Source organism: Homo sapiens, chromosome 1 (genome assembly GCF_000001405.40).
Source record: "Homo sapiens chromosome 1, GRCh38.p14 Primary Assembly".
Lineage (NCBI taxonomy): Eukaryota > Metazoa > Chordata > Mammalia > Primates > Hominidae > Homo > Homo sapiens.
In genome coordinates this window covers 41,808,426-41,835,637 of record NC_000001.11, presented here as the reverse complement: position 1 = coordinate 41,835,637, position 27,212 = coordinate 41,808,426, and the positions used below count along the sequence as shown (strand labels likewise).

At 45.3% G+C, this 27,212-nt stretch overlaps 1 protein-coding gene across 2 annotated transcripts in view, besides 1 other annotated feature; it reads left to right on the top strand.

The window, feature by feature from the left end:
* HIVEP3 (HIVEP zinc finger 3) overlaps nucleotides 1–27,212 on the top strand; it is a 529,570-nt gene that overhangs the window by 200,297 nt on the left and 302,061 nt on the right. The gene's annotated exons all lie outside the window — the stretch shown is intronic.
* Nucleotides 11,765–12,282: an enhancer, noted in NCBI's record as "OCT4-NANOG-H3K27ac hESC enhancer chr1:42289027-42289544 (GRCh37/hg19 assembly coordinates)". NCBI's record gives its function as "activates a minimal SCP1, AML or CMV promoter by ChIP-STARR-seq in naive H9 embryonic stem cells {active_cell/tissue: H9 hESC(naive)}" and the evidence as "EXISTENCE:reporter gene assay evidence [ECO:0000049][PMID:30033119]".

Below are 27,212 nucleotides of genomic sequence, written 5' to 3'. Positions count from 1 at the left end.
GTTTTGTCCATCAGTTTGTCTGAAGTTAACCATGGAAGAGCAGATTTTGTAAAATCTAATTTGATAGGAATCTAGACGCTATGGACTGAATCGTGTTACTTTAAAATATGTTGAAGCCCTAACTCCCAGTGTGAGTGTACTTGGAAATAGCACCTTTTGGATATTGAGTTAAATAAGGTTATAAGAGTCACTAATAGGATTGATGTCCTTATGTGAAGAGACACCAGAGAGCTCACTTTCTCCTTTGCATGCCCTTACGGAGGAAAGGCCATGCTGGGACGCAGTGAGGAGGTGGCTGTCTGCAAGCCAGGAAGAGAGCCCTCACCAGAAACCTAATTGGCTGGGACTTTGATCTTGGACTTGTAGCCTCCAGAGCTGTGAAAAAAATAAATTTCTGTTGTTTAAGCCACCTAGTCTGTGGTATTTTGTGATGACAGTCCTAGTAGGCTAAGACAATAGTATTTTCAAACAAGTTACTCTCCATGTACTTAGGGTTTCTTTAATGTACTTACATTTCCTTGGAGCTTACATGCTAAGAATTAGTCCTTCTGGTCCCCAGATCATGTAAACCAGATGGCCTCACCACTGTGCTCAGAACCCTGCAATGGCTTCGTGGAATTTGTAATAAAATCTAGAGTCCTTGCCATGACCACTGTGGCCCAAACCCCTGCCTGCTGCTCCAGCTTCATTCTCAGCTCATCATTCCTGGTCACTGCTCTCCTGTCCCCAAGCACATTCCCACCTCAGGGCCATTGCACTTGCTGTTCTCTCTGCTTGGAAGGCCTTTTCATGCCATGCATCTCAAATAGTGTTCCCAACACTTCATTCTCTCATCTTTCTTTATTATTTTTTCAGAGCATTTATTACTAACTGATACTGTATTGTGTCTTTGTTTGTCTGTCTCTTCCACTAGAAAATAAGCTCTATGAAGTCAGGGATTTATATCTGTTTTGTCCATCACTGAATCCCCAAATAGTGCCTGGCACTGAGTAGGTGCTCAATAAATACTGGATGAAATGATGAACCTCACAATTGGAATTCTAATCACTGCTTTGTGGAGGAACCACCACATCGCTGTCTTATTCAATAAGAATTGGGGAGCTGTTACAGCTATAGTGTTCTGCCTGAGTCAGACCCTTTATAGGATGATTATCCAGTCATAGCCAACACTTACTGAACACTTGGTGTGCTGGAGAATGTACTAGATGTTAAGAAAACTGAACTGTGACCCCTGTATTTCATAAGGTAAGGGGCAGCCAGACAGAGCCCACAGAACAGCACCAGTGCCAAGGTCCTCTTGGGGAGGGCATGGACATATTCCCCCTTCCCCTGAGAGAGTGGTTTACTCACAGTGGGGGAATGGGGGTGTCAATGAAGATGTCCGTGGTCTCTGCAGAGAGATGGAGCTGATGAGACACCCAGATGGCCATCACCCCTCCTGTCCCCAAAGACTTCATACTTCTCTGACCCATTTGTGAGGAGGATTAAATGAGGGTGTGTTATGCTAGACCCAGCCCCAGGCCCAGAGGGAGCCGGGCTCACTGGTCTCAGGAGGCCCTTTCCAGCCTCTTGACCTTTCTTATTCTGTGACCATGCTGGGGATTCCTGGTCACACCTCTTACAGGTAGGAAAGCAGCCCTCAGGGAGCAGGAGGGAGGTCCTTGCTAGGGTCACACCAGGTGGTCAAGTCTGGGTCACAATACTACCCCCTCGCCATTTCACAAGCTGGAGGCTCCCACGCTGAGCAGGCTCGGTAGCTTCTTTGAAGGATTTTCCTTTGTGTGTTTATCAGATCTTGGATTTTCCACCATGGTCAGCTTGTGGTTAGTTATTATCCAGATGAGCTGGGTACCACCCACAGAATGACTTGGGGAAAGGAGGAGCCACTGTGTGTGGACCTTATCACTGTGGGCTCAGGCGTGCTTCTTGTGTCCATCATGATGTTTGATGCCAGCAGAGTTCAGGAGAGGCTCTGGAGCCATGTCCAGCTCCTCCTTGAGCCCTCAGATTCTGCTGCTTTTATAATGGTAATTACAATCCTGGAGGGGCAGAGGAGAGGGCATAGACTTTGGAGTCAGTTGTCCCTAGGTTCAGGCCTTATCTCTACCATTCGTGCCTTTGTGCTTTGGACTAAATTCCTTAGCCTTTCTGAGCATTGTTTCCTTGCCTCTAGGATAGGAACAGTATCAACCTCTTACTTTAGTTTTTTTCCTTCTCTAAGCCATTGAGCCTCAAATTGAGTTGGTCAGTGGACTCAAGACCTCAAAAACCAGCCCCCTCATGTGGCTTTGCATTGTGTGGGAAGCTGCACTCCATGACCCCTAAGTTTCCTACCAATGCTGGAGCTATAAATTAATGTCAAGAACAAAATACTTTGGTCAGCAGGGCCATCCAGAGACCCTGGTGGACCCCACTTTTAGAGCCACTGTTCCAGGCATTTGCTCCTTTGAACTTGTTGAACCTGTACATTCTGGATTGGCTTTGGGGGCCCTGATAATAGGAAGACCTTGACTTTGCTTCTCATTGCAGAATACTTGAAGGGTTTATTTTAGCTGAATTATTTCCGTGCCTTCTCCCACCCCTAAAATGAAGAGCTTCTACTTGCATTTGTAGGATCTGTCCCTAGACCAGAGCCCTCATTTGTTCTAAGAAGGAGTTGGACTCCCAGTGCCCATGTGACAGGTGCAGAAGCAAAATCTGGATCCATTCCTAGACCTCAGCCAGACCCCTATGTGGGAGGAATAATGGGAGTGGAGGGTAAAATCAGCATTGGTTTTGGAACCAGACAGATCTCATTTAAAATCTGGGCTTCAGCATTTACTGCTTTAGTAGTTTGAGGGTGTATTAGGCAGTCTCAGTTTCCTTATCTGTAAAATGTGAATCAGAGATTGTTGTGAAGATTAAATTACATAACATTTAAAGTACTTGGCACTTTGAACACTTACTAAATATCTACTATGTGCCAGGCACCACTGCTTTGTGCTGGCTCAAAGACTCACATCCTAGAGGGAAAAAGACGAGTGGATAAGCAAATTTCTGTCCCCTTGCTTTTGAGTTTTCTGGTTTATAAAGTGCTTTCACACACACCCAGTAATTTTTGTTTTTTTGAGACTGGGTCTCACTGTGTCATCCAGGCTGGAGTGCAGTGGCATGATCTTGGCTCACTGCAGCCTCTGTGTTCTAGGCTCAAGTGATCCTCCCACCTCAGCCTCCCGAGTAGCTGGGACTATAGGGGCACACCACCATGCCTGGCTAATTTTTTAAAAAATTTTTGTAGAGACAGGGTCTTGCCACATTGCCCAGGCTGGTCTTGAACTCCTGGGCTTATGTGATCCTCCCACCTTGGCCTCCCAAAGGGCTGGGATCACAGGCATGAGTGAGCCTGTGAGGAGAGGTCACTTAGCCATGGTCTCATTGCCAGCATTTGCCAGGGCTGGACCAGAGGCTAGTTTCTGACTTTTAGCAGGAGTTCCTTCTTCTGTACTTTTACAACTGAAAGCCTGAGCCATAGGCTAGAAGCATCAACATCACCTAGAAATAGTTAGAAATGCAGATCTCGAGGCTGACCCCAAACATTCTGATTCAGAATCTGAATTTTAAGAAAATTGAGACAGCTCTAGTGTAGTGGATAAATGGCAACGCTCTAGACCCTGACTGTCCAGATTCCAACCCTGGCTCCATCACTTACTTATTAGTTCGATGACTTTGGGTAGATTAGGTAAATCTCAGTGCTTCTGTGTCCTTAACTCCAAGGTGGGGTTAAGAGTCCCACCTCAAACTGACTGTTGTTTGGATTAAATGAGACAGATGTTAAGAGCCAGCATTCCTTGAATGCTTGCTCCAGGCCAGGTGAGGTGTTCACTGCCTCCCATGAGCACAGACTCATGCCTGGTGCACAGGCAGCCTCAACCAGTGTTCACTTTTTCATTACCTCGTGGGACTTGAGAAAGAGACTTAGTTCTCATGATATTTATGCAAATAGGAGAATGGTTATTTCACAGTGCTCTAAAGCTTTGATGAACCCCATGTTGAACATATCCTTAACTGCAGCGTCTCACATGAAAGTTTTTCTAGCATTGGTATAATAATGAAATTGGCATCTGAAAGCCGATACTCATTGGATATTGTGAAATGCTCTGGGAAGCTCCGTTTCAGCATAAAAAACTGTATGATTCCCATAGAATGTAGTTTATAGACAGAACAATTCCAAGCTGAATAACCATGTAAAATTATAGGATGCTGGAGCTGTCACAATTTCTAGTGATCATCACATTCTACCATCTCATTCCGCAGATGAGAAAACTGAGGCTCAGAGAAGTCAGGTGGCTTGCCTGAGGTCACCCAGATGGTTAATGGCAGAAACAGAGCTGGAAATGAGGGTTTCCCACTCTCAGCCCAGTTCTTCCCACTATGAATGTGTGTGCAGATTCTCATTCATTCATTCAATAAATATTTCTTAGGAGCTTACATGGTGCTGGGTGCTGTTTAGAAGCTGGAGATAGTAGTGAGCAGTATAGCAAGGTATTTGTCCTCTGCAGTTCACATCCTCATGTGAGAGTGAGAAAAAACAATAAGAAAAAAAGAACAAGATGACTTCAGATGTGGATGACTGCATAGGAGGAGACAAAATGGGGAAATATGCTAGCAATGATTTGGGAATAGTTGGACAACACTGCCAGAGAAGTCATCTCTGAGATAGTACATTTGAGACAAGCCATGAATAAAGTGAGTCACGAACGCGTAGGGATAAGAAGCTTCCAGCAAGAGCCAACATACTCCCACCTCCCAGCTCTTACTCCTGGTACCCACTGTCACAGGTTGGCTTCCTCAGAAACAGACTCAGAGATGATGGATCTATGTGTAGGAAGTTCACTGGGGTGGGAGGGACACAGGGTGGGGGAGAGGGAAAAGTTGAACTGTGATGCAATTCCAACAAGGGCCTGAGTCCATGCTACAGAGTTCTGGAGCTGAAATGGCTCTTTAGAGTTGTCCCACATTGCGGCAAAGGAGCCAGGTCTTTGTCCCTGTGCGAGTGATCAGTCAGTGGATAAAGACTGCTTTTGGGAAAGGTGTATGGCCTTGGTAACACAGCTCCCTTCAGAATTCCTGGGAGAGACTCAAGTGTGAGCTGTCAGCAGACAACATTCCCAGCAGCCAGAAGAATGAGTGGCTCCATGCTGGAGGGGACCTGGGCAGTACCGCAGCATCCACCATAGCCTGTCATCAGGGCACCAAAGATGTATTGCTTGCAGGTTTCTCCCACTGAAGGACATAAAAACACCTTTCTCCTGTCTTATTTTTGCCTTGTTTGAATATTCATTTATTGGTCACATACTTGTTGACATTTACTGACTTCCAACTTATGGGATGGGCACTGAAGGGGCAGAAATGAATTAGGCAAATTTCCCATCTTGGAGCTTGCAGGACTTTGTGGAGACACAAGTAGACAGAGAGATAGTTAGACATGTATTTCCATGTAGCTCTTCCAGCTGATGAATTGTACAAAAATACTTCTTCTGTGATGGATATGATGGTCACTTCAGCATTCAAATCTACGGGGTCAATGAGACCTTGACATGAAGTGCATCACACCTGAATATGTTCACCTTCATTCAATGCACAGAGATCATGGAAGCTGATAAACCCATTTGATTAGCTTTTTCTGGGAAAATGAAGGAGGGAAATTGGAAAGATTGCCTTGTACATGCAAATGATAATAAAAGTAACTAATACTTATTGAATGCTTATACTGTTCTGAAAATTACATACAGATCTTTCCGCTTTACAGGTGAGGAAATTATAAGAGAAAGTTAAGAATTCTTGAGCTTTTTTTTTTTAACTGGGAACATGAAGGCAACATTTTTTTTTAAAAAAGGCTAACAAGTCTAAAATTATATGGACTCTTCAAATTTACTTTTGACCTTTGTTCAATGTATATGAATATATTTCATAGTTTTTATCAGTTTGTATGTGCTAGGTTTGTATGTGCTTGCTTCTGTCATTTACATCTGCTGTTTTGTTATATTTATTATTATTTAATTTATTTATTTATAATTGTATTTATTATATGTTGGGGTTACATTCCCCCCGCCCCTTAATTCTGCATTTCTGAGAAGCAATAGAACAATGACTTCCATGCACAGAGGTTTCTGTTTGTCTGTCTAATGGCCGCTGGTCTGGATTTATATCTGGGCCATTTTCAGGGCCTGGGATAAGCAACAGAGGTAGGGTGGAGACAGAGAGGGAAGGTCAGGATGAATTCTCTGGATTTTCTAACTCAAATAAATTGATATACATGAAAGTAATTGGAAAGTGATAAAACACTACATCAATGTGATATTTTTGGTGTGTCATCATCATCTGGACTTCTATAAATGTGTGTCAGGTCTGATTGCAGTGTCTTTAGATAAAAGCAAAGACTTTTTTAGTAAGCATGCCATATCGAAGTGGGTATTGTTTCCATGGAATAATACCCCTGTGACGCTTCCACTCCATTCATGATATAGTGCCGGGTCACTGATGTGAGTGCCTGGCCTGGCCAGGCAGGCCAAGCCAGTGGGTCATAGGGGTGGGGTGGGAGAGGGGTGGCTCCTGGAGAGCCTGGACCATCAAGGGAGGCCACCCCTGAGCCAGCTCAGGTGAACTCTGCCTTGCAGGAGGGTTGGGCAATGTTGGCCAGAATTACAGATTTTTACTGTAAATTCTGATTTTTAGCTGACTCACTTGGGCTTTTATAAAATATTGTGTATGCCAGATAAAACATGCCATGAACTAGACTTTAAAGAGCTGCACTACGTGCAAGCCCTGGCACAATGAAAGGGATTCTGGATGGAGAATTAGGAGACTGGCCAGGGTGCAGGGGGCTGGACAAATGATATTTGAGGAGCCTGAGTTGGCACTTCTCACCCTAAGGTCTCGGGCAAGGCACCTGTTCACTATCAGCCTCCATTTCTTCATCTATACAATGAAGCTCTTACAGATTTTCCTAATGTGCAGGGAAGTACCTAATACCATCTGAGTGCAGCACCAAATACATAAATTTCTGGTCCCAGTGATTCAGTCAGCCAAAGTGGAGAACCACTGGCTTAAAGTATCTCTTAGAAATGCCTTCAGAACCTCTTGTCTAAGAAATCCCCAGGGAAGGCCATTCATCTTTTAAAGGAGGGGGTCATATTTTGGAAACAGTCAAAAGGCAAAGTTTATCAACTGAAGTAGCTAATGCCATTTGGACGGTTCCCAAAAAAGTGAGTTAGGAGTTCTAAATAAGGAGAGTAAATCCCTGGTGTGGTTAGAACTTGGCTCTGAGGAAGGCAGTTTCTTCCAAAGATCATTGTGAACATCTGCGAATTGCAGACATGATGATGCAGCTGTGAGGGGCAGCGGGGAGTCCTGCTGTCCAGCAGGGACACTGGGTGGCCACCCAGGGCTGTGACCTTGCAAGGACCCTCTAAACTCTTAACTACACCAGCTCCTTTACTAGGGTCCAGAGTGACTGCTTCCATACTGGGGTTGCAGGGGAAGCCCGGCATCATCCCAGGAACTCCTGCTGGCAGAAGCTTGTTCTTCACTGGTTGGGAAATTATAAATAAAATAATGGTCACTTTTCAAAGGTGTTCTTTGATGTCAGTGTGTGAAGAAGCCAGAGAGCTGTCCTAGGAGTGACAAGGACTCTGACTTCTCTGCCTCTCCTCTCCCTCTTCCCTCCCTTCCCTGCCTCCTGTCCCTCTGGGGTCCTCCTCTATTGACTCTCTCTCCCTACTTTACCCCATGCCCCCCAAGCCCTGCCCATATCCTTTTCCCAAGAAGCCTGTGGAAAAGGGAGGTCCTGATGAAATTGCCCAGTGAATTTGGATCAATGATTTGTAAGTGCAGCCTTGAAAAAAAATCTTCTTCATGTTCTTCACTATGATGTGGTTCTACTGGAATAATTTAATTACTGGAGCATTTAATATATTTATTAATGATCTACATCTGTGGCCCCCCTATCAGCCTATAGACTTGGATCCCTTCTCAAATAAAGGGCAGTATTCACCCAAAGATGGAAACAGCTGCTTTGGTTAGGATGGGGGAGGGGAAAGTGGGATTGACTCAACCCATTCCTCACTGTCCCCAGCCCACCCCCTCCCCAGCAGTGCCTCAGGCATCTTCCCTGGAACCTCTATGATACCTTGAAACAATGTAAAATCCAACTAATCTAGAACTAGGCATAAGAGGGTCATTCACTTGCAGGTGATGGTAAATTGGTAAAGTTGGCAAACAGCAGCAGGGAAGAGGTGTCACCAAGCCAGCCAAGAGGATGAGGAATGGAAACTGATTCACAAAAACTGTCAGGCTGTTTTTAGGTTTTAGGTGATGCCAGAAGGATATCAATAAGGTACTGTTGGTGACTATGGAAAAGGCGATTTTAATGGAGATTTGTGGTGGAACAAGAAAGTGCCTCTCCATTGGGCCAGGTTCATGTCGCTTACCTGTTTCAGGAAGAATACCCTGATTATGGCCGTCAGCAGCCCCCTGGTCCCCTGGGCTCTGGGGCAGCGTGGTGACCATCTTCCTGGGTGTTTCTCCTGTTCAGCTACCATAGAGGCAGCAAAGAGCTCCAGGTAGAGAAGAGAGCTGGGACTTTAGAGTTAAGCAGATGAATGTGGGCTCCATGGGACCTGGGGAAGAGGCCATGCCTCTTTGAGCTTCAGTTTCTTCATCTGTAAAACAGCAGTAATAAGTCCTCCTTTGAAGAATGAGTGAGTTAAGGTGGCCAGCTGGGTACCAAGTGCATGGCAGGGCTCAGTCACTATTAGTCCAGTCCACATTGCCCAAGCAGGTTTTGAAGTCAGTAACATTTCTCCCTGATTTTATTAAAGCAATACAGGTTCATTATAGAATGAATGAACTGTAAGACAACTCACAACCACGTCTCCAGCATACAAAACCTTCAGAACATCCAAGCCACAGTTCCCAGGGGCTCCTTCAAAACCTCCTCCTTGCTTCAAATGCCAAAAGCCTGGCCACTGGGCCTTGGAATGCTCACAGCCTGGGATTCCTCCTAAGCCGTGCCCTGTCTGTGAGGGCCCCCACTGGAAGTCAGACTGTCCAGTTCACATCGGGAGGCTGAGGGAGGAGAATCACTTGAACCTGGGAGGCAGAGGTTGCAGTGAGCTGAGATTGTGCCATTGCACTCCAGCCTGGGCAATAAGAGCAAAAACTCCATCTCAAAAACAAACAAACAAACAAAACACCCAGGGCATCTCACACCCATGCAAGCACACTTGAAGCGCTGAGTGAGTACTGCTACTAATGCAAAATCAAGCATGCTGTTTAGGATCCCCCATTTCCTGGAGACCCTAAATTCCTCACTCAGCCTCTCCCAGTGACAGGCAGTTCTCAGCCCCTTACCTCTGTGACAGTGACCTATATACAAGAGAAATAAGCCTTTTACAAAATATCGGTTAATGAGCAATAGACATGCTAATGGCTCACAGGTTCTGGAAAAGAAGCAGGGTGGCCCCACTTATGAGAGAGGAGACTGCAAATAGTCCTATGTCAGAGCAAGGGAGTAACAGTGACAATTCCAGCAGGGCAGCCATGTCCAGTTGCACAGGTCATGCACTGCACAGTTTTGGGCAACATCTTCACATCATGGCTCATTACTCATTACTCTCTTGGGGCTACAGGGATGTGGAGTTGCTCATGGGGCCAAGGGGTCCCAGGAGGTCAGGTCAAAAATAGTGAGACTCCCCAGACGCAGTGGCTCACCCCTATAATTCTAGCACTTTGGGAGGCCGAAGTGGGCAGATCACTTGAGCCCAGCAGTTCGAGACCAGCTTGGGCAACATGGAGAGACCCCGTCTCTACAAAAAAATACAAAACTTAGCCAGGCATGGTGGCACACGCCTGTAGTCCCAGGTACTTGGGAGGTTGAGGTGGAAGGATCACCTGAGTCTGGGGTGGTCAAGGCTACAGTGAGCTGTGATCACACTACCGCACTCCAACCTGGGTGACAGAGTGAGACCCTGTTTCAAAAAATATATATAGTGAGAATTAAATGAATATATATATATATATCTCACTTTGGCCAGGTGCAGTGGCTCACGCCTGTAATCCTAACACTTTGGGAGGCCAAGTCAGGTGGATCACCTGAGATCAGGGGTTCGAGACCAGCCTGGCCAACAGTAGAAACCCCATCTCTACTGAAAATAGAAAATATTAGCTGGGCGTGGTGGCGAGCACCTGTTGTAAGGTCCTCTAAGCTGGCCCTACCATGGTCAAGCCATGGTGACATTCCCCCGCCCTTGTGATAATGTATTTTGTGATATTCCTGGTCCTTGTGAATGTACTTTGTAACATTCTTCCCTGCCCTTGTGACAATATGCCCTCCCCGCCCTCGTGAATGTACTTTGTAACATCCTCCCGCCTTGAGAATGTACTTTGTAACTTCCATCCCCCTACCCGCAAAAATTGCTCGTAACTCCAACGCCTATCCCAAACCTATAAGAACCAATGATAATCCCACCACTCTTCGCTGACTCCTTTCTCAGACTCAGCCCGCCTGCACCCAGGTGAATAAACAGCCTTGTTGCTCACACTAAGCCTGGTCAGGTGGTCTCTTATACAGACATGGGTAACACCTGTAATCCCATCTACTCGGGAGGCCAAGGCAGGAGAATCACTTGAACCTGGGAGGTGGAGTTTGCAGTGAGCTGAGAAGTGCCATTGCCCTCCAGCCTGTGCAACAAGAGCAAAACTCCATCTCTCTGTCTCTCTTTCTCTCTCTGTCTCTGTCTCTCTCTCTATATATAAACTCTCTCTCTCTCTCTCTCTCTTTCTCTCTCTCTCTCTCTCTCTCTCTCTCTCTCTCTATATATATATATATATATATATATATATATATATATATATATTTAACTTGGAACAGGGCTTGGTATCTGGTGATATAAATGTTAACTCTGATTCCTGTTCATGTGAGTTAATGTTCCTTGTGTTCCTAGGAGGGACTACCTTGTCACGAAAAACAGTATAGATCAGACACAAACATACCTTTTCCAGTTGTTCAAACAGCTTGGATGTTTGAGGGTTCTTAAGTGGTAACTGGGTTGTTGAGGTTGTCAGTGCACAGCGAGGTTGTGTGGGTCACAAGGAAAAATGCCAGGGCTGGGGTCCGGACCACTTACAACGTTAGCTGTGTGATCCTGTTTTGAACTGAAAAGGAGGCATTACCTTTCTGACTAGACTAGGTTATTATTAAATTGCAAAATGGTAGATTGTATTAAGTTTCAAAATGTTAGATTGAAATTTTGATCAAACAAGAGAAGGAACTGTGGAAAGTAAATGGTGGAAATGACTATTTGAAGCAGTTGGGGGAAAGACAATATGCATCTCCAGGGTGACGGAGCCTTTGGGGATGAAAAGAGTGTAGCATTCAGAATGAGAAGGCCTGGGGGGATTCTTGGTGTATCCTGGGACCAGTTTCTTACATTCTCTGTGTCTTCATTTCCTCACCTATGAAATGGGAATATGATATGCAAGCACTCACTCCCCTGACTTCTGACATGAAGATAAAGCTAGATTAGTATGAAAGTGCTTGAAACACTGAAAAGTCCTACACAATGGTGCTTCCACTACAGCTTAATTCTGTTATCAGAGTCCACAAGCCAGCTTATTTGCCTCTGCTGCCTACTCTAAAATAGCAAGTAACCAGACTTTTATGTGCCAAGACAGAAATAAATGGATTTTTAAAATATTTGGTTTCAGTGCTTTTGTGTCATTGACAGGAGTCTGCTAGAGTCCTAGTGCCCTCCTGGAATGATCCAGGCCTAGAAACGAAGCTGTGTGTACCCCCAGTGACACCAGAAGGAAGGACAAAAGCGGCTGTCTCCCCACCCACCTACACACTTTGTGCTAATTGGGTTTCTTTGTTGCCCTCCCCAGAGGCTGGGAAGGAATGTGCAGCCCAGGCAGAATTCCTCTCTGCACCCTGCCCCTCCCCTTGAGGTCACCACTCTGGGATCGCTTATGCCTGTGGAGAGTGTAGAATGAGGTAGAGGGCAGAGCCAGGAGCAAACAGCCAGCAGCCAGGGAGAAGTCAGGGACTCCGCCTTCTTTCCAAACTGCAAATTACAAGGAGATGGCCAAAAAGCCTCTTGGCATGTGGCACAGAACATGGGCTTTGGAGCTGGATGAACTGGGTTCTTATCTGCTACTCACTGTGCAACCTGGGGCAAGTCAGTCTAACTAAGACTGGGTCTCATTTCTTTCATCTGTGAGCTGGGGACTTTTGTATCTGCATCTTGGTGTTCTTGTGAGGAGATTAAGCATACAATGCAGTCTTTGGGTATATTAGTCTGCTCAGGCTGTCATAACAGCATGCCACAGACTGCATGGTTTAAACAACAGAAATTTATTTTCTCACAGTTCTGCAGGCCAGAAGCCCAAGACCAAGGCGCTGGCATGGTTGGGTTCTGATGAGGTCTCTCTTCCTGGCTTGCTGACGGTTGCCTTCTTGCTATGTACTCACATGGTGGAAAAAGATAGAGATCTCCTTCTTGCTCTCCTTCTTTTTATAAGGCCATAGCCCTTTCAGATTAGGGCCCCACCCTTATGGCCTCACTGAAACTTAGTTACTTCCTTAAGAGCCTTTCTCTAGATAAAGTCACATTGAGAGTTAGGACTTCAACATATGAATTTGTGGGGCAGACAATTCAGTCCATAGCGTCATGAAGGGTGGAATTGGACAATATAATCAAAAGGTAGTAAAAAGAACAAGGACTAGAACATGAATGCTGAAACTAAGGATGGGTCCCTGCCGCATTCTGCAGCTGTCAACAGCCATTTCCCAGATCCAGAACAATGCAGATCAAATGGTAGGAAGACGCTTGGAGTTGATGGAGAGGTCCCCTTCCCAGACCAAGCAGTTTTGTGTGATGCAAAGCAAATATAGGAAAGCTTGAGAAACTACACTGATAACCCCCAAATCTGGGGACTGTCATGGTATAGCTGGACTGGGAAAAAATGCAGAACTGCCTTCTTGAAGCTTCTTCCGTGACAGATACTTGCATCCTGAGACCTAGGCCAGAAGAACCTCTAACCACTCTTATTCTTTCTTCATCCCTGTGAAAAGGATGGGAAAAAAATTCTAAGCAATTAGCAAGGAATATGAGCATCAATCAAAGAAGGACAGTGGCAGTCCTTCTGGATGGCAGTCAACAGTTCCCCCATCCATCTCTGCATATGCTGCTCCTCCATCCAGAAGCAGATTCCCTTCAACCTGGGCTGGCTTTTGACTCACTTTGTCCATAGGATTTGGAGGAAGTGACACTGTGCCAGGTCTAGGCCCAGACCTTTTGAGACCTCGTGGCTTATACTACTGTTCTTTCAGAACCCAACTTCAATGTAAAGAAACCCAGATTTTCCTACTGGAGAGAGGCAACATAGGGAGAGAGGCCCTGGAGGATGAGAGATCACATGAAGAGAGAGAGTGGCCACACAGACAACAGCCTCAGTGCCCCGCTGGGACCCTCCAACCTGAGTCACACTGCCCTAGCCATAACACATGGAGCAGAGACAAGCTGCCCTCACTGAGCCCTACATTAATTCCTAACCCACAGAATTGGGAGCAATAAAAGGATGATTTTAAGACACTGCATTTCGGAGTGGTTTGTTAGGCAGCAATGGATAAATGAAGGAGGACCTTCACATCAAAATGGCCTGTGCATCCTGATGCCAGCACTCCACGTAGGCTGGATGTATACCTGACCCAAGGGAATGTCCTGTTGCAGCATGATCAACACAATTAAAGCAAGTGAGACCCTGAAGACTAGGATGTAGACAGAGGCTGCCCAAGGCCCAGCCCCATTCTCTCACCTTGCTCAGGCAGCCAAAGGACCAGACTGGACAAATGATGAATACCCATTACCCATCTCTCTAGTTCCTGTTCTAAGGGAAGGATTCAGACAGTGCCTGGGAACTAAGGGAAGTAGGGCTTCTTTCCAATATGTAAAAAGGGATCTGGGTGAGTATTTTGAAGAGAGGATTTTGTGAGGAGGACTTTTGGATTGTGGAGAGAGGTGAGATGGTGCTTCATCTCTCAGTTCAACTTATAGTATGTTTGGGGCTGGGGTGGAGTAGGGGAAGCCCTTCAGCAGAATGACTCAGAGAGCCTGGTTTTGTGTCCTGCAGTTGAGAGATATCTGCTCCGATGCTTGACATAGGCCCAAAAAGCTCGAGTGGTCTTTGACACATGGAAGATGAAATAGAGGATGGCATTTGAGAAGTGCCTCCATTCCCACTACAGCAAGACAAGGGATGCATGCCTACATTTGATTGATGAGAGGCAGATTATGCCAAGTCAGATGGGAGCCCTAATATCTAAGACCTGCCTGAGAAGACGGAGTGAGGACCGGTGATGAGGACCTCTGGGGCTGAGAGGTGGGAAAGCTGGAGGGATAGAATACAGCCTCTACCCCAGGGGATTTGCAGCCAGACCACAACTGGGGAGTCTCTGAAGCTGGAGTCACCTATCAGTCAGCAGCCACCTAAGAGCTTTACGGCTCTGCTTCCTTTCCTTCTCTGGGCTCCAGCCCCTCAGGAGCTTGGAGCCCTGCTTCATAATCTGAGGGCAAGAGGGGAAAGGGGAAAATCAGCACACTGTACCTTCCTTCCCTGACCCCAAGTTCCCACCTGTCACAGGTGCTAGCTAGGGAGGGTAGGAACCACTTGCAACTTGCCTATGTAGAGATAAAGGATTTCTTACTTTGAATTGAAGATTCAAGTGTTCATTCATGCAATAAATATTTGAGTTCCTACTCTGTGCTAGGTATTGGTTGACACTGGGGATTTAGCCGTGAGCAAAATACATAAAAATATCCTCCTTCGTGGAGCTAACATTTTAATGGATTAATATCTAGGACTAGACACTTTAAAATTGATATTGTATGTTGTGTCTTAGTGACCACAGGACTGTTACCTAAAAGACAGTAGAAAATTCAAGGGACAGGTAAATATAAAACAATTATTTAAAACATTTGGATTTAAATGGATGGCTATTTCTCAGACATACACTACCAAAAGAAAGCTGAAATAACTACATTATCCTTGGAGAACAGAGAACATTAAGGATATTTTTTAAAAGTGACCATGTAATCAGTTGTTCAAATGAGGACTCTTTTCAGAGTTAAAAGAGATGCTATTAGTAAAGTCTATGGGGACAACATGTATTAATATAAGAGGTGCTATTAATAAGACCTGTGAGAACAGCATGTGTTAACTAGGACTATCTCAGGCAAACAGGGACCTATGGTCATTCTGGGGATAAAACAGATCACTGCATAGAGATAAGAGGGGTTCATGAAGCGTAACAATTCTGACCTTGTTTGTACCTAATAACATAACTTCAAAATAAATAAAGCAAAAATTGGCAGAATGAGAAGTAGAAATGGACAGATACGTTTTTATAAAGGGGGATTTAAACATAACTCTCTCTACAACTGACAGAGTAAATAGACAAAAAATGTATGGGGGATATGGAATATTTTATCAACACAAGTAAAAAGCTTGATCTAACAGGTGGTGGGCCAGTTCCAGCCCACCACCTGTTTTTGTCAATAAAGTTTTATTGAAATACATCCCCATTCATTTATTTCCTTATTTTCTATGGCTATTGTCTATGGCTGCTTTTGCTTTACAATGGCAGGTTGAGTAGCCATGACAGAGACTGTATGGCCTGCAAAGCTGAAAGTCTTGACTATAGCACATTTGCTAACCCCTGATCTAAAGCATTTATATAAAATCCTGACTCTTAACAATTTTTAAAGAGTACATATACTTTTCAGGTACATGTGAACATTTGCAAAAATTAATCATGTAGCAAATGTCAACTAATTTTTAAAATCCCAATATCATAAACATCTCTAACTACAAGAAAAACCCCCAATATCATATATGTCTCTGACCGCAAAGCAATTCAATCAGAAATCAATAATTAAAAGATAACTAATCCCCCATAAGTCTGAAATTTTAAAAATTCTTCGAAATAATTAATCAAAGAAGAAATCTTAGCGGAAATTATATATTTGAATGAATTTCAAAATGAGTGGGAAATGGCTAAAACAATTCTGAGAGGAAATGTATAGCTGTAAATATTTATATTGGTAAAGAAGAACTCAAATCAAGAAGTAAGAAAAAGAACAAAAGAGTAAATTCAAAGAAAGTAGCAGAAGGGAAATTAACAAAATAGAAAATAAAGAGACAATAGAAAAGAGCAACTAAATCAGAAAACAAAAGATAAAGAATTCTTTAGCAAGACAGACCAAGAAAAAAAAAAGACAAATGGAACAATTAGACACTACTGAGAATGAAACTGATTTGTGGTTAAATGGCAAAGCACTGGAGAGTGCTGGGTGATGGGCGAAGTGTATTCATTTTATTAGTCTCTGTACATTTCTGTATATTTGAAAGATTTCAACACACACATACACACACAGACATGAAATAAAATCTGCAAATAAACAAAAAAAAGGGAGAGTGGGCTCTGAATTCAAACTGCCTGAATTTTAACAACGATTCTACAATTTATTAGTGAGTATCTTAGGGGCAAGTTACTTAAATGCATCTCTTTAAAATGGAGGTGATAATAGCTTCCGGCCCATACCTCCACACTGCCTCCTTCATGAGGCTCTGGGAATTCAGGACAAGGATTCATTCACTCTGATTTTTAAAACTCTTTCTCTAGTTAAGGTTGCCCCAGAATTACTTAACACCTCTCCCTCACCTTCCACAGCAATGCTTAAACTACCTGGAGAGCTTGGGATGCCACTCAGGAAGCGTGGGGAGGGAATGAAGAAGGGGCAGAGGTTGGAATGCACAAGGGGGAGAGAACCAGCATTTATTAAATCTCCACAGTGCATGGGCTAGTGTGCTAAATGTGAATACCTATTTCCTCCTATAGACGGGAATAATAATATCATCTGCTACTGACTGGGTTCGTTTTCATTCGGTATGGTATGTCCAATGTCCCCACAACCTTGTACTTTCAGGCCACTGCTTCCAATGACTGCGTGGTGTTTCAATGGTGTTTCACATCCCCCCATAACCTCTTCTTATCCTCACCCCTAGTCTAAAGCACTTGGGTTGCTTTCAGTCCTTGCTAAGAGAAACAATACTTGAACACATTTCTTCATCAATGCCCCCGCCCCCAGGGATTTACATCTGGGAGTGAGCTTTCTGGGTCACAAAGAAGAAATACTATATACTGCAGACTGTTTTCCAGAACGGCTGAATCCATTTGAACTCCCACCAGCAGGACACGAAGAAACAGGAATCTTTGCACCCTGCTCACCAACACAGGCATTATTAATATTTACCTGTGGGAGTTTATTAGTATTTTGTTGTGTTTAGTTTGGGTTTTTGAATTACTAGTACATTTGAAGGTCTCTTCATACGCTGTTACCCACTTGGATTCTCCCTTCCATGAATTGCCTATTCATATGCTTTGCCATTTTTTAAATTGAGTTTCCTGTCCTTTTCTGATTGGCTTTCTGGAGTTCCTTGTATATTCTAGAAATTGATGGTATGTTGTGTTTAGACATCGCAGATGCCTTCTCCCAGTCTTCATATGCCTGTGACATTGCTGAGGTGTCCTTGACTGGACAGTAGAGCTGGCCCCTAGTCACTCAGCTCAAGAGGGTGGAATCAGGATTGGAACCCAGGCCAGTCTCCCTCAGGAGTTCATGCTCTTTCCATAGTGTTCCTCCCTCCCCACCTGCTTTCTTCAAAGAGGGCAGTTCTGCACTCAGTCAAGGCAGCCTGTGGGTATTTGGAAAGAGAGGGAGTAGTGCATCTCCAGAAATTGCACAAGGTAACCTCCCAGTAGTGCTTCAGAAGCCATGTTGATGCCTAAAGGGTGAGGATTTGTGATTTGTAAAAGACCTTTTCTGGAGCTGTTGGAAGCTCTCATTTCTCCTCGTCCACCTTAGCAAGGGGTAACTGTCACCTTCCTGGCTGTAATTATCAGAAGTTAAACATACCTCTAAATGGAGCATTGAACCACAGGTCCTCCTGGTGACCTGGGATCCCACTGACAACCCAAGATGAATATGTGAAGAAAACTTCCTCAGTGTGCCCACATCCCCTGCTCAGCCTAGCCATGCAGCAGGCAGTGTCCTCATTTCTCCAGCATCCCACGTAAGGAACCTCAGGTAATTCACCTCTGGCTCACTTCCACCCCGTTTTCTGCCATGTCCTGCCCCATCCGGCCCCATCCTTTTTTCCCTGCTGTGTCAGGTTTCATTGCAACTCCTTTGATCCATCCTCCTCTCTGCATCACTTCCCTCCACCCCAAATTATTGTCTGTCTGATGTCTCCATCACCTTTGTCCTGACCTAGCTACTTTTATATAGCCATTTCTCATGGCCGAAAAATGTGGTCTAAGGCTTGGATGTGGGTCTCAGCTTTGCCATTTATCAGCAGTAGCAAGAAAACCTTACTCAGCCAGCAGCGGGCTCCTCAATAAGCATTCAGTAAATGCCTACTATGTGTTAAGTGCTATGATGGGCACCAGCAATTCCTCAGTGAGTGATGTAATCCCTGCTCTTCATTTGCTCACTTTAGGAAGGGGCAGACATTTAAGCCACCAGATGCATCCAGTGTGATGAGTTGATCAAAAAGATGTGCTTAGAAGTGATTGATTTGGCCTAAAAGTGGGTAGAGATGGTCAGGAAGACATCTTATGGGAGCTGACACTTGAGCTGAATCTGGAAGGGTGGGGACGAGTTTTCCAGGTGGACAGTGCTAGCAGAGGGCAAGAGCATGGCAAGATGAAGCAAGTGGTGTGTTAGGAATGCAAGTTTGTAGCCCTTCTTTCTCATGGGGCTTGCAGGAGAACCACACATAAAAACACATATCGTGAATCACCAACAAATGCTGTAAGAATAGATGCTATGTTTTTGTTTTGTTTTGTTTTGTTTTGTTTGAGGCTGAAGTCTCCTTCTGTTGCCCAGGCTGGAGTGCAGTGGTGGGATCTCAGCCCACTGCAACTCCTGCCTCCTGGGTTCAAGCAATCCTCATGTCTCAGCCTCCTGAGTAGCTGGGATTACGCCACCATGCCTGGCTAATTTTTGTATTTTTGGTAGAGATGGGGTTTCACCATGTTGGCCAGGCTGGTCTCAAACTCCTGACCTCAAGTAATCTACCCACCTCGACCTCCCAAAGTGCTGGGATTACAGGAGTGTGCCACTGCACCCAGCCGTAACAGATGCCTTTAGTTGTTAGTTAATGAAAATTTGCCTTCTGGGTTTGATCTGAAATAAGAGAAACACTTAAACTTCTTGTTTCACCAGGTTTGAATGGCCTACTCCATGGCTGCCTTCCATGTACCCACCCCGATTGTGCCATAAGCAAAATGCCACACAAGAATGTGCTTTCTGTTCAATGCTGGCAACAGTTCTCCATGTTATCTTTATGTGTGCTATGTGTCTAAGCTTTATGGAAGCTACTGAGAGGCTGGAGTGGACAAGACTTGGGATTGTGGAGTCAGGCTGAACTGGGTTCAAATGCTGGTACTGCCACTTTCTACATACTAATACTGGCCCTGCTTCCAAGGCCACCTTGATTAGTTTAGGATGCTCCACAGCTCTTTGGGGACTTACTCCAGAACCAACAGGTGACTAATTGCATCAACGGCACGTGGGCTTCAGTGGTTTAATTCTGAAGGCAATCTGATTTCTAAGTTTTGGGGATGTGGTTCTCCAGCTACTCAGGAGGCTGAGACAGGAGGATTGCTTGAACCCAGGAGGCAGGGGTTGCAGTGGGCCGAGATCCCACCACTGCACTCCGGCTTGGGCAACAGAGAGAGACTTCTGTCTCAAAAAACAACAACAACAATAAAAAAAAAAAAAACAATAAAAAAGCATCGATTCCTACGGCACTTGTTGGCGATTCATGATATGTGTTTTCATGCCTGGTTCTCCACATGCCACTAGGATAAAAGCTAAGCCTCCTCCATGGGCCTCTGAGGCCTGTTATGGGTCAGCCTCCCTATCTTCCCCTGCTTCCCTTTGAACTGTCTAGGTCCCATTAACACTGGCTGTGACCATTCCCATTCCTACCTCAGGGGCTTTGTACTTGTTGTTCCTTCTGTCTAGAACTTTCTTTTCTTTTCTCTTTTTTTCTTTCTTTTTTTGAGACAGGGTCTCACTCTATCACCCAGGCTGGAGTGCGGTGGTGTGATCATAGCTCACTGCAGCCTCAAACTCCTGGCTCAAGCCATCCTCTTGTTTCAGCCTCCTGAATAGCTGGGGCTGCAGGCATGCACCACCATGCCCAGCTAATTTTTATTTTTTGTAGAGAAAGGGTCCCACTATGTTGCCCAGGCAGGTCTTGAACTCCTGGCTTCAAGTAACCTCCCACCTCAGCTTCCCAAAATGCTGGAATTACAGACATGAGCCACTGCACCTGACCCCCTTCTGCCTAGAACTTTCTTTCACCTAATCTTTATATGGCTGACTTCTTTTCAGTCAGCAGGTAACAGGTATCAGTTCAGATGTTACCTCTTATTACATCCCCAGGCCATCCTGTTTTACTTTCTTCATAGCACCTCTTACCTGAACCATCTTATTTATTTATTTACTTATTTACTGTCTGTCTCCTCTGCTAGAACCTAAGTTTGATTTTAGCAGGAACCTTATCTGTCCTGATTACTGCTGTATCTCCAAAACCCAGAGCAGTGCTGATTTTGCATATCATGCATATAACGTGTATGCCTTTTACACTCAGTAAATGCTTTTGAATCAATGGGCAGTTGAATAAATGGATTCACTGAAAGGAATGCTTTCATAAAGGAGCAACTCTCCATTTTAAAATGGGGAAAAGAATTTCTTGGGTACCTATTCTTACCTGTGGAATGGAAACATAAATATTTGTGGAACCGAAACACACTAATGCATAATAAAGCTTTCAGTTGCAAATGCAATGGAGAGTGGTCATAAATGAATAGTAATTACAAGATTAGCATGCTGTGGGAGTCATATTTTAGGCCAACTCATAATTTTGAAATAGAGTTTGGAAAAGCGTTTCACCCAGGTTATGCAAGATTCATGGCTATAATCTGGTGGCAGGCACTAGCCTTAGGGAAGCCGGGCCTGCATTCAAGTTCTGGTTCTGCATCTTAGCCATGTGACTTTGGGCCATTCCCTTAACCCTCATGGGTCTACATTTACTCATATGTGGAATGGGAACATACCAACCACCATGGTGGCATGAGAGCTAAAAGAGGTGATGGATATAGTTCATACAGCACAGGGTAGGGAGAGGGGAAGAACTGTCCCCACGTGACCCCACTCTCCTGTGGCTCTGCACTCCAGCCCTGGCAGTGTGAGCGCAGAGGTCATGCCAGATAAATGTCTGCTGAGTGCTGGCTGAGGGACACTCACTCAGAAGCCAGCTTTCCACAAGCCTCACAGACATGACGTACTGGGGCTTGAATTTCACCCATGGCCTAAAAGCAAGGTCCCATTCTCTCAGCTCTCATTACTCAGTGTCTTCTGGGGATTTCCCTTGGACAGCAAGATAAGAGTGCCCAAGGTCAAGACCATCAGGAGATGAAGCCCCCACCACTGGAGGATGGACCGTGTAGGGGTGGGGAGGAGGCTGAGATTGAGAAAGGGCAGTGCTGTGGGCTGCTGTGGGTAACTACAGGAAGGCATCAGAGCCCTAGACATCTGTAGGTGAGGAAGCCCAGGCCGCAGTGCTGAATGGTTGGGGAAGAAGCTACTGTCTCCACCACAACAGGCTGTGCTGGTCTGGTCTGTGGAATGGCTAGTCATGGTTCCCTTCTACATGTGTCTCTTGTCGAGGCTGGCTGTGAAGACCCTGTGTTTAGGAAGAGTTGTATGGCATGGGGCAGGGGTGGGGTTCCCCAGCTCTTCTCCTTTAATGGTCTCTCATGTATTATGGTTACATATTGGGCATCAGAGAGCACTGCATGGTCCCTCCTACTTGATGGCTTTATGGTTCTCAGCCTTCTCCCTTTGGCGTAGAAGATCTGTCCTCTATGGCTAGCAGCCAAGAGGAGATTTCCACAGAGATTTCTATCCACTGTGGTCCTGCGGAGAGAAGTCGCACCTGTTAATGGCTGGGGATGGACAATTGCAAGGCGGTATGTGGGTGCACAGTCTCTCAGGCACCCTGTGTGTCACTAGGTCTTGCCAGTGTGTTTGGGAGGAGGACCAGCTGGTGAACATTGCCTGGCAGCAGTGTGAGCCACTGTTTTCCAGCTGCCATGATAGGACTGTTTCCAGATCACCAGAAAGACAGGGCAAGATTGGCGCCTAGTGTTGCTCCTGCTGGTGGAGGCTGTGGGCCAAATGGCAAGAGGACTAGATAGGGTGATGGGGGGCTGCATGACTGGACTCCAGTCCCACTTCTGCTTCTTACTGGCCATGGAACCCAGAGCCTCAGAGCCCTCATCTCGAAAATGAAGGGGTTGTTTGGGAGGCTGAGGCAGAAGAATCGCTTGAACTTGGGAGGCAGAGGTTGCAGTGAGCCAAGATCGCACCACTGCACTCCAGCCTAGGCTTCAGAGCAAGACTCCATCTCAAAAATAAAATAAAATAAAATAGATAAAATGAAATGAAGTGGTTGGATCAGGGCCTGGAGACAGCTAAGGTCCTTCTTGCTGTAGGAGTCTCAGAGGCCCCAGAGTGCATAGGCACTTTACCAGGTCCAGAAAGCGCTTGGCTCTGAGTGCTGCAAGGACCGCCCCCCACCCCCTCCACCCATCCTGCTAGGCTGCATTTAAGGAGCAGAGAACCTTGGCAGTTCTAACTTATCTGTCCCCCCACCCCCAAGGAGGAGTGCACCCTCAGGGAAGGGGACACTCTGTTTTTCACAGACAGGGAACTGTTGGAGTGGTGGCTTCGCAGCCCAGCTGGCCAGTCTTCTCTGGGGTGAGCAGCCCAGGTCCCCCCCCACCCCCTACCAGCCTTGGTATTTGCTAATTTCCCTTCCCAGGATAAATGCGTCACTATCACTCTTAAAATGAAGTGTCCAGATGGGAACACAATACAGATGTGGCCCAGTCATTCCAGAGGAATGCAAGAAAGCTGCTGAGATTGTCTAGAATTCAGGCATTTCCTCAGTGGGCTTTATCCTCTATTTATTCCATATCCATGACATCTTATTTATTTTTTTGTTTTTGTTGTTGTTTTGTTTTGTTTTTAAGACAGTCTTGCTCTGTTCTCCAGGCTGGAGTGCAGCGACATGGTCATAGCTCACTGCAGCCTTGAACTCCTGGCCCTAAGCGATCCTCCCTCCTCAGCCTCCCCAAATGCTGGAATTACAGGCATGAGCCACTGCACCCGGCCCATGGCATCTTATTAAACATCTGTCCGTTGCAAGCTGAGAAAGAGGTTTCTGTTTGTGCTCCTCGTGTTTGTTAAGTTTGCTTAATGAAGGCCCTGTTTAAAGGGAAGGACTGCCTCTAGCTCCCCCTAGAGGATAGCTGGCTGGGATTCCACAGCCTCAGCCCTGGGAGCACCTGTGTATGTCTCAAAGCAGCAGAGAGATTAATGACCTGGGTCATTTTGTTTATTAAAATATCACCTTGGGGGTTCTTTATACCATTGTAAAAATGGTTCAACTGAGTGCCTTCTGTCTTCTTAAGCCAGTGCCTCTGGACACTCTTCTTTGTAACTTGGGCACTCGGGGGCTTCTCTGGGCCTCTGCTTGCTCATCTTTAGAATAAAGTATTTTTTTTTCCAGTTGTAAATTAATTATATGGTTCTTTATATTAATTGTATGGAGTTAGATAAGGACTCATCTGTACAACTACAGCAACTGCGATTTTCGTATTCCCTCTTTTAGGAATTTATTATAAAAAGGACTCAACCTTTTCCTGACTTTATGCCTCCAAATTCCCATTTCTCACCCTCTCCTGACGTTTCGCCTTTCCCCACCCCCTCCCCGTGGTGCTCCAAGCTCAGTGGGTGGCAGCACAGCACGATGGTTCAGGACAGTGTCTCTGGAGGGTGCTCTGGGCCCGTCACTAACCAGCTGGGCGGCCCCAAGTGAGTCACATAACCTCTCTGTCTGCCTCATTATCTGTAAAAAGAGGATGTGGTAGCATTTGCCTAACAGCAAATGTAACTGATAATTAATGCATATAAAATGCTTAGAATAGTGAAAAATGGTGTTCAAAGAAGCATTCGTTGTTATTGTTGTGTTTCTATGGGGTGAGGTAGCCAGTAAAACCCAAGGTTAACACCAGACTGTTTTCCTCTAGGAAATACAACAAACAAGCAAGCAGAAGACATGGATCCTGAAGTTTCTTATGAGCAGGAGACTAGCACAGACCACTGTTCCTACCATTGGGAGGACAGCACACCTGGCTGGCTGCCAGAGTGGGCCTTGGGGAGTAGGAAAAGCCAAGGGCTTAAGAGATGGAAGATCTCCTGGGTCACACCCAGGAGACTATTCACTAGCTGCCCACTGGGCAATAAACACCAACTGAGGACCCAGGTGACACAAACCCTGCATTAGGTACAAAAAAAAAAAAAATCTGGTCATTGGAGGACTCAGGCCAATGGGGGAAATAAACTGGTCAATAAACAATCATAGTGCCCTGTAAGGGCTGGAAAAGGGCATCCTAGGAGTCTGCAGTTGATAGGAAGGGATTGGGAAGGGCACAAGGCCAAGAAATAGGACAGGCAAGATCCAAAGGAGTGAGGACTTGGTGATGTCAAAGGCTTCAGGGCCATTACAGGCAAATCCATAAGCCACATGCCACATAGGCCACCTGGCTTCTTAAAGAGATCCACACTATAAATTGGAGGTGAAAAGTTAGAAAACTACTTCTTAAAATGAGGTACAACAGTGAAGCCAAATTTATTTTGAATTGATTCTTTTTAAAAGACTGTAACCATATATAAACTCAAAATAACCACATTTCACCATGACACTGTTTTTAGGGGCCCAGCCAGGAATGAGGGTCAGTACCTTGGAGAGCTCCAAGGGGTTCCAAAGGGCTGAGGCATGCACTAGTTCAGCATGAGGCAGAAGCATAAGCATGAACCTACCAGGATCAGTGTGGGGCCAGCCCCTACTGGTGTGGGCTTCCATTGCCAAGGCTGGTGCTTCTCCTCTTAGATGGAGGTCCCAGGGACTAGGAGATGGTGGATGGGGGGCAAGGGACCTAAGATGGACATTTGTTATCTGCCCTCTCTCTGGATGGAGTCTTCTTGGTACCCAGGAGAGATCATTGCACTCATCCTGGAGTCAACTAGTGGGCCCTGATGCTAGGATGCTTGTGGAGTTTTGCTTTCTTACAAGTGGTTGATCGCACTTCTTCAGTGGAGGTGACTTAGTTATTTGAGATAAGCAACTGAAAGGATTGTTGCTGCCTGAAGGCAGAATCGAAAAACTGGGACAAGCTTCATAGCAGTTCTGCCATTTCAACCTCTTGGATGTGGATTTCTACAATTACCCAATCAGTCCAGGTCTTGTGGGCAGCTGGGGGACTATCTGTGAGATGGAGGGTGAGGCCTGACTTTGAAATGTTTGTTGTGGCTTTTGGCCCTGAACACTGGAGCCTGATTAAGTTTTATGCCAGTCAGGTATAAAACTTGACTGGCTGCAATTTGGGCAGCTGCACCCACATGCATCTGGTGTGTGCATGTACACTGTTCTCTTCATCAGATGGACATGTCGTTTGGATATTTCTCTCCTGGAATGAGACATTGAAAAGTAATTTATAGCTTCAGGAAAGTCCCCAGTCAAGCATGGACTCGGCGAGATGGTGATGTCAGCAGATTTATTCTCAGGGACCTTCCCCTTTTTCTTTCATCTGAACCCTCCTCCCATTCACTTGTTCCCCATGTGTTTACTGAGTGTCTTTTTGTGCACAGGCCCAGGATCTGCACCCACAGTCAACTGTAACAACCATATGGCCTAGATCATCTGGGACAATTCTGATTAAGGGGCATTTATTCTTTTCATTAAAAGTGATTTGTTAAATATATGGGGGAATGTGATTTGACTTTAGCTTTTGTAAAGCATAAATAAATTCATAAATCAGGGAAATAATCTTCAGTTGAATTACATGTCAGAATTTTGCATGCAGAAAATATGGTCACCATATATCTAAGACAGAGAGAGAAAACAATTTGCATCTCCTGGGCCAGTTCAATGCATTGGAAGAATCACCTGTATTGAGAAGGAGCCTGGGGTCACTGTTGATTAGTGGCACCTGCCATGGGCATCACGTGGCAAGTGATGGCATGAAGACCGTGTCTTTGGTACCACCTGTTTCTGTTCTGAAGGCCTACTGTCCTCACACTGTTCCAAGTCTCTCTTATCAATATAAAAAGCTGTCTGAGCCGTCAACAATGAAGGGTTATTAACCCTAACATGGTAACCATCCCAGAGGCTGGAAGAGACCTGTGCCTCAACTGTGCCTTCATGGATAGGCCAGGAGAAGGGAATATTTTAGGTCTCAGCACTCCTTGCACAACACATAGGAGCTGTGCTCTGAACCCCAAATTGTGTTACTTAGCTTGAGACCACCTAGTAATGGGAAGAGCCTGGTGTCCAGAGGCAGACAGACCTGGCTGTAAATCCTGAATTCTGAAGCATCAGCTGTATGACCCTGGGAAGGTTACTTAACTTTTCTGATCTTCAGTTTACTCCTTTTCAAAATGGAAATAGTAATTCCTACCTCTTAAGTTTATTATAAGAATTAAATCATAGAACACATTTAAAGCCACTGTGGTTTTGCCTGCCACATAGCAGGTGCTCCATAAATGAGATCCCTTATAACAACTTGTAAGAACTGCAGGCTCCATCCCTTGCTCCATATGGGCCGTTTGAATAAACCTATTTTAAGTAATGGATGTCACACATAATTTGGGCAATAATTCCATTTCACTTCTACCCCCAAATCTGAAAAATAAATAAAGGAAGTTGACCTTTACTAAGTGATTTGGAATTTCACTGGAAGGTTCTATAATTGCTAGTTAACAGGCCTGGGAAACCAGCTCTTGTGCTGTAATTGGAGGTGTGCAGGTCAGGACATTTAATTATGGCCTGGCCGCCTGGAATAGAAAGCTTGCCACCATGACAACACCTTTTTGCATCTGCCTGATTAAGTCAACAAATTGTTGGTTCCCAGCCCAAACTGGACTGTGACAAGTGCTTTCTTCCCCTGGATTCTGCCTGTCATGATGTGCCTGTCA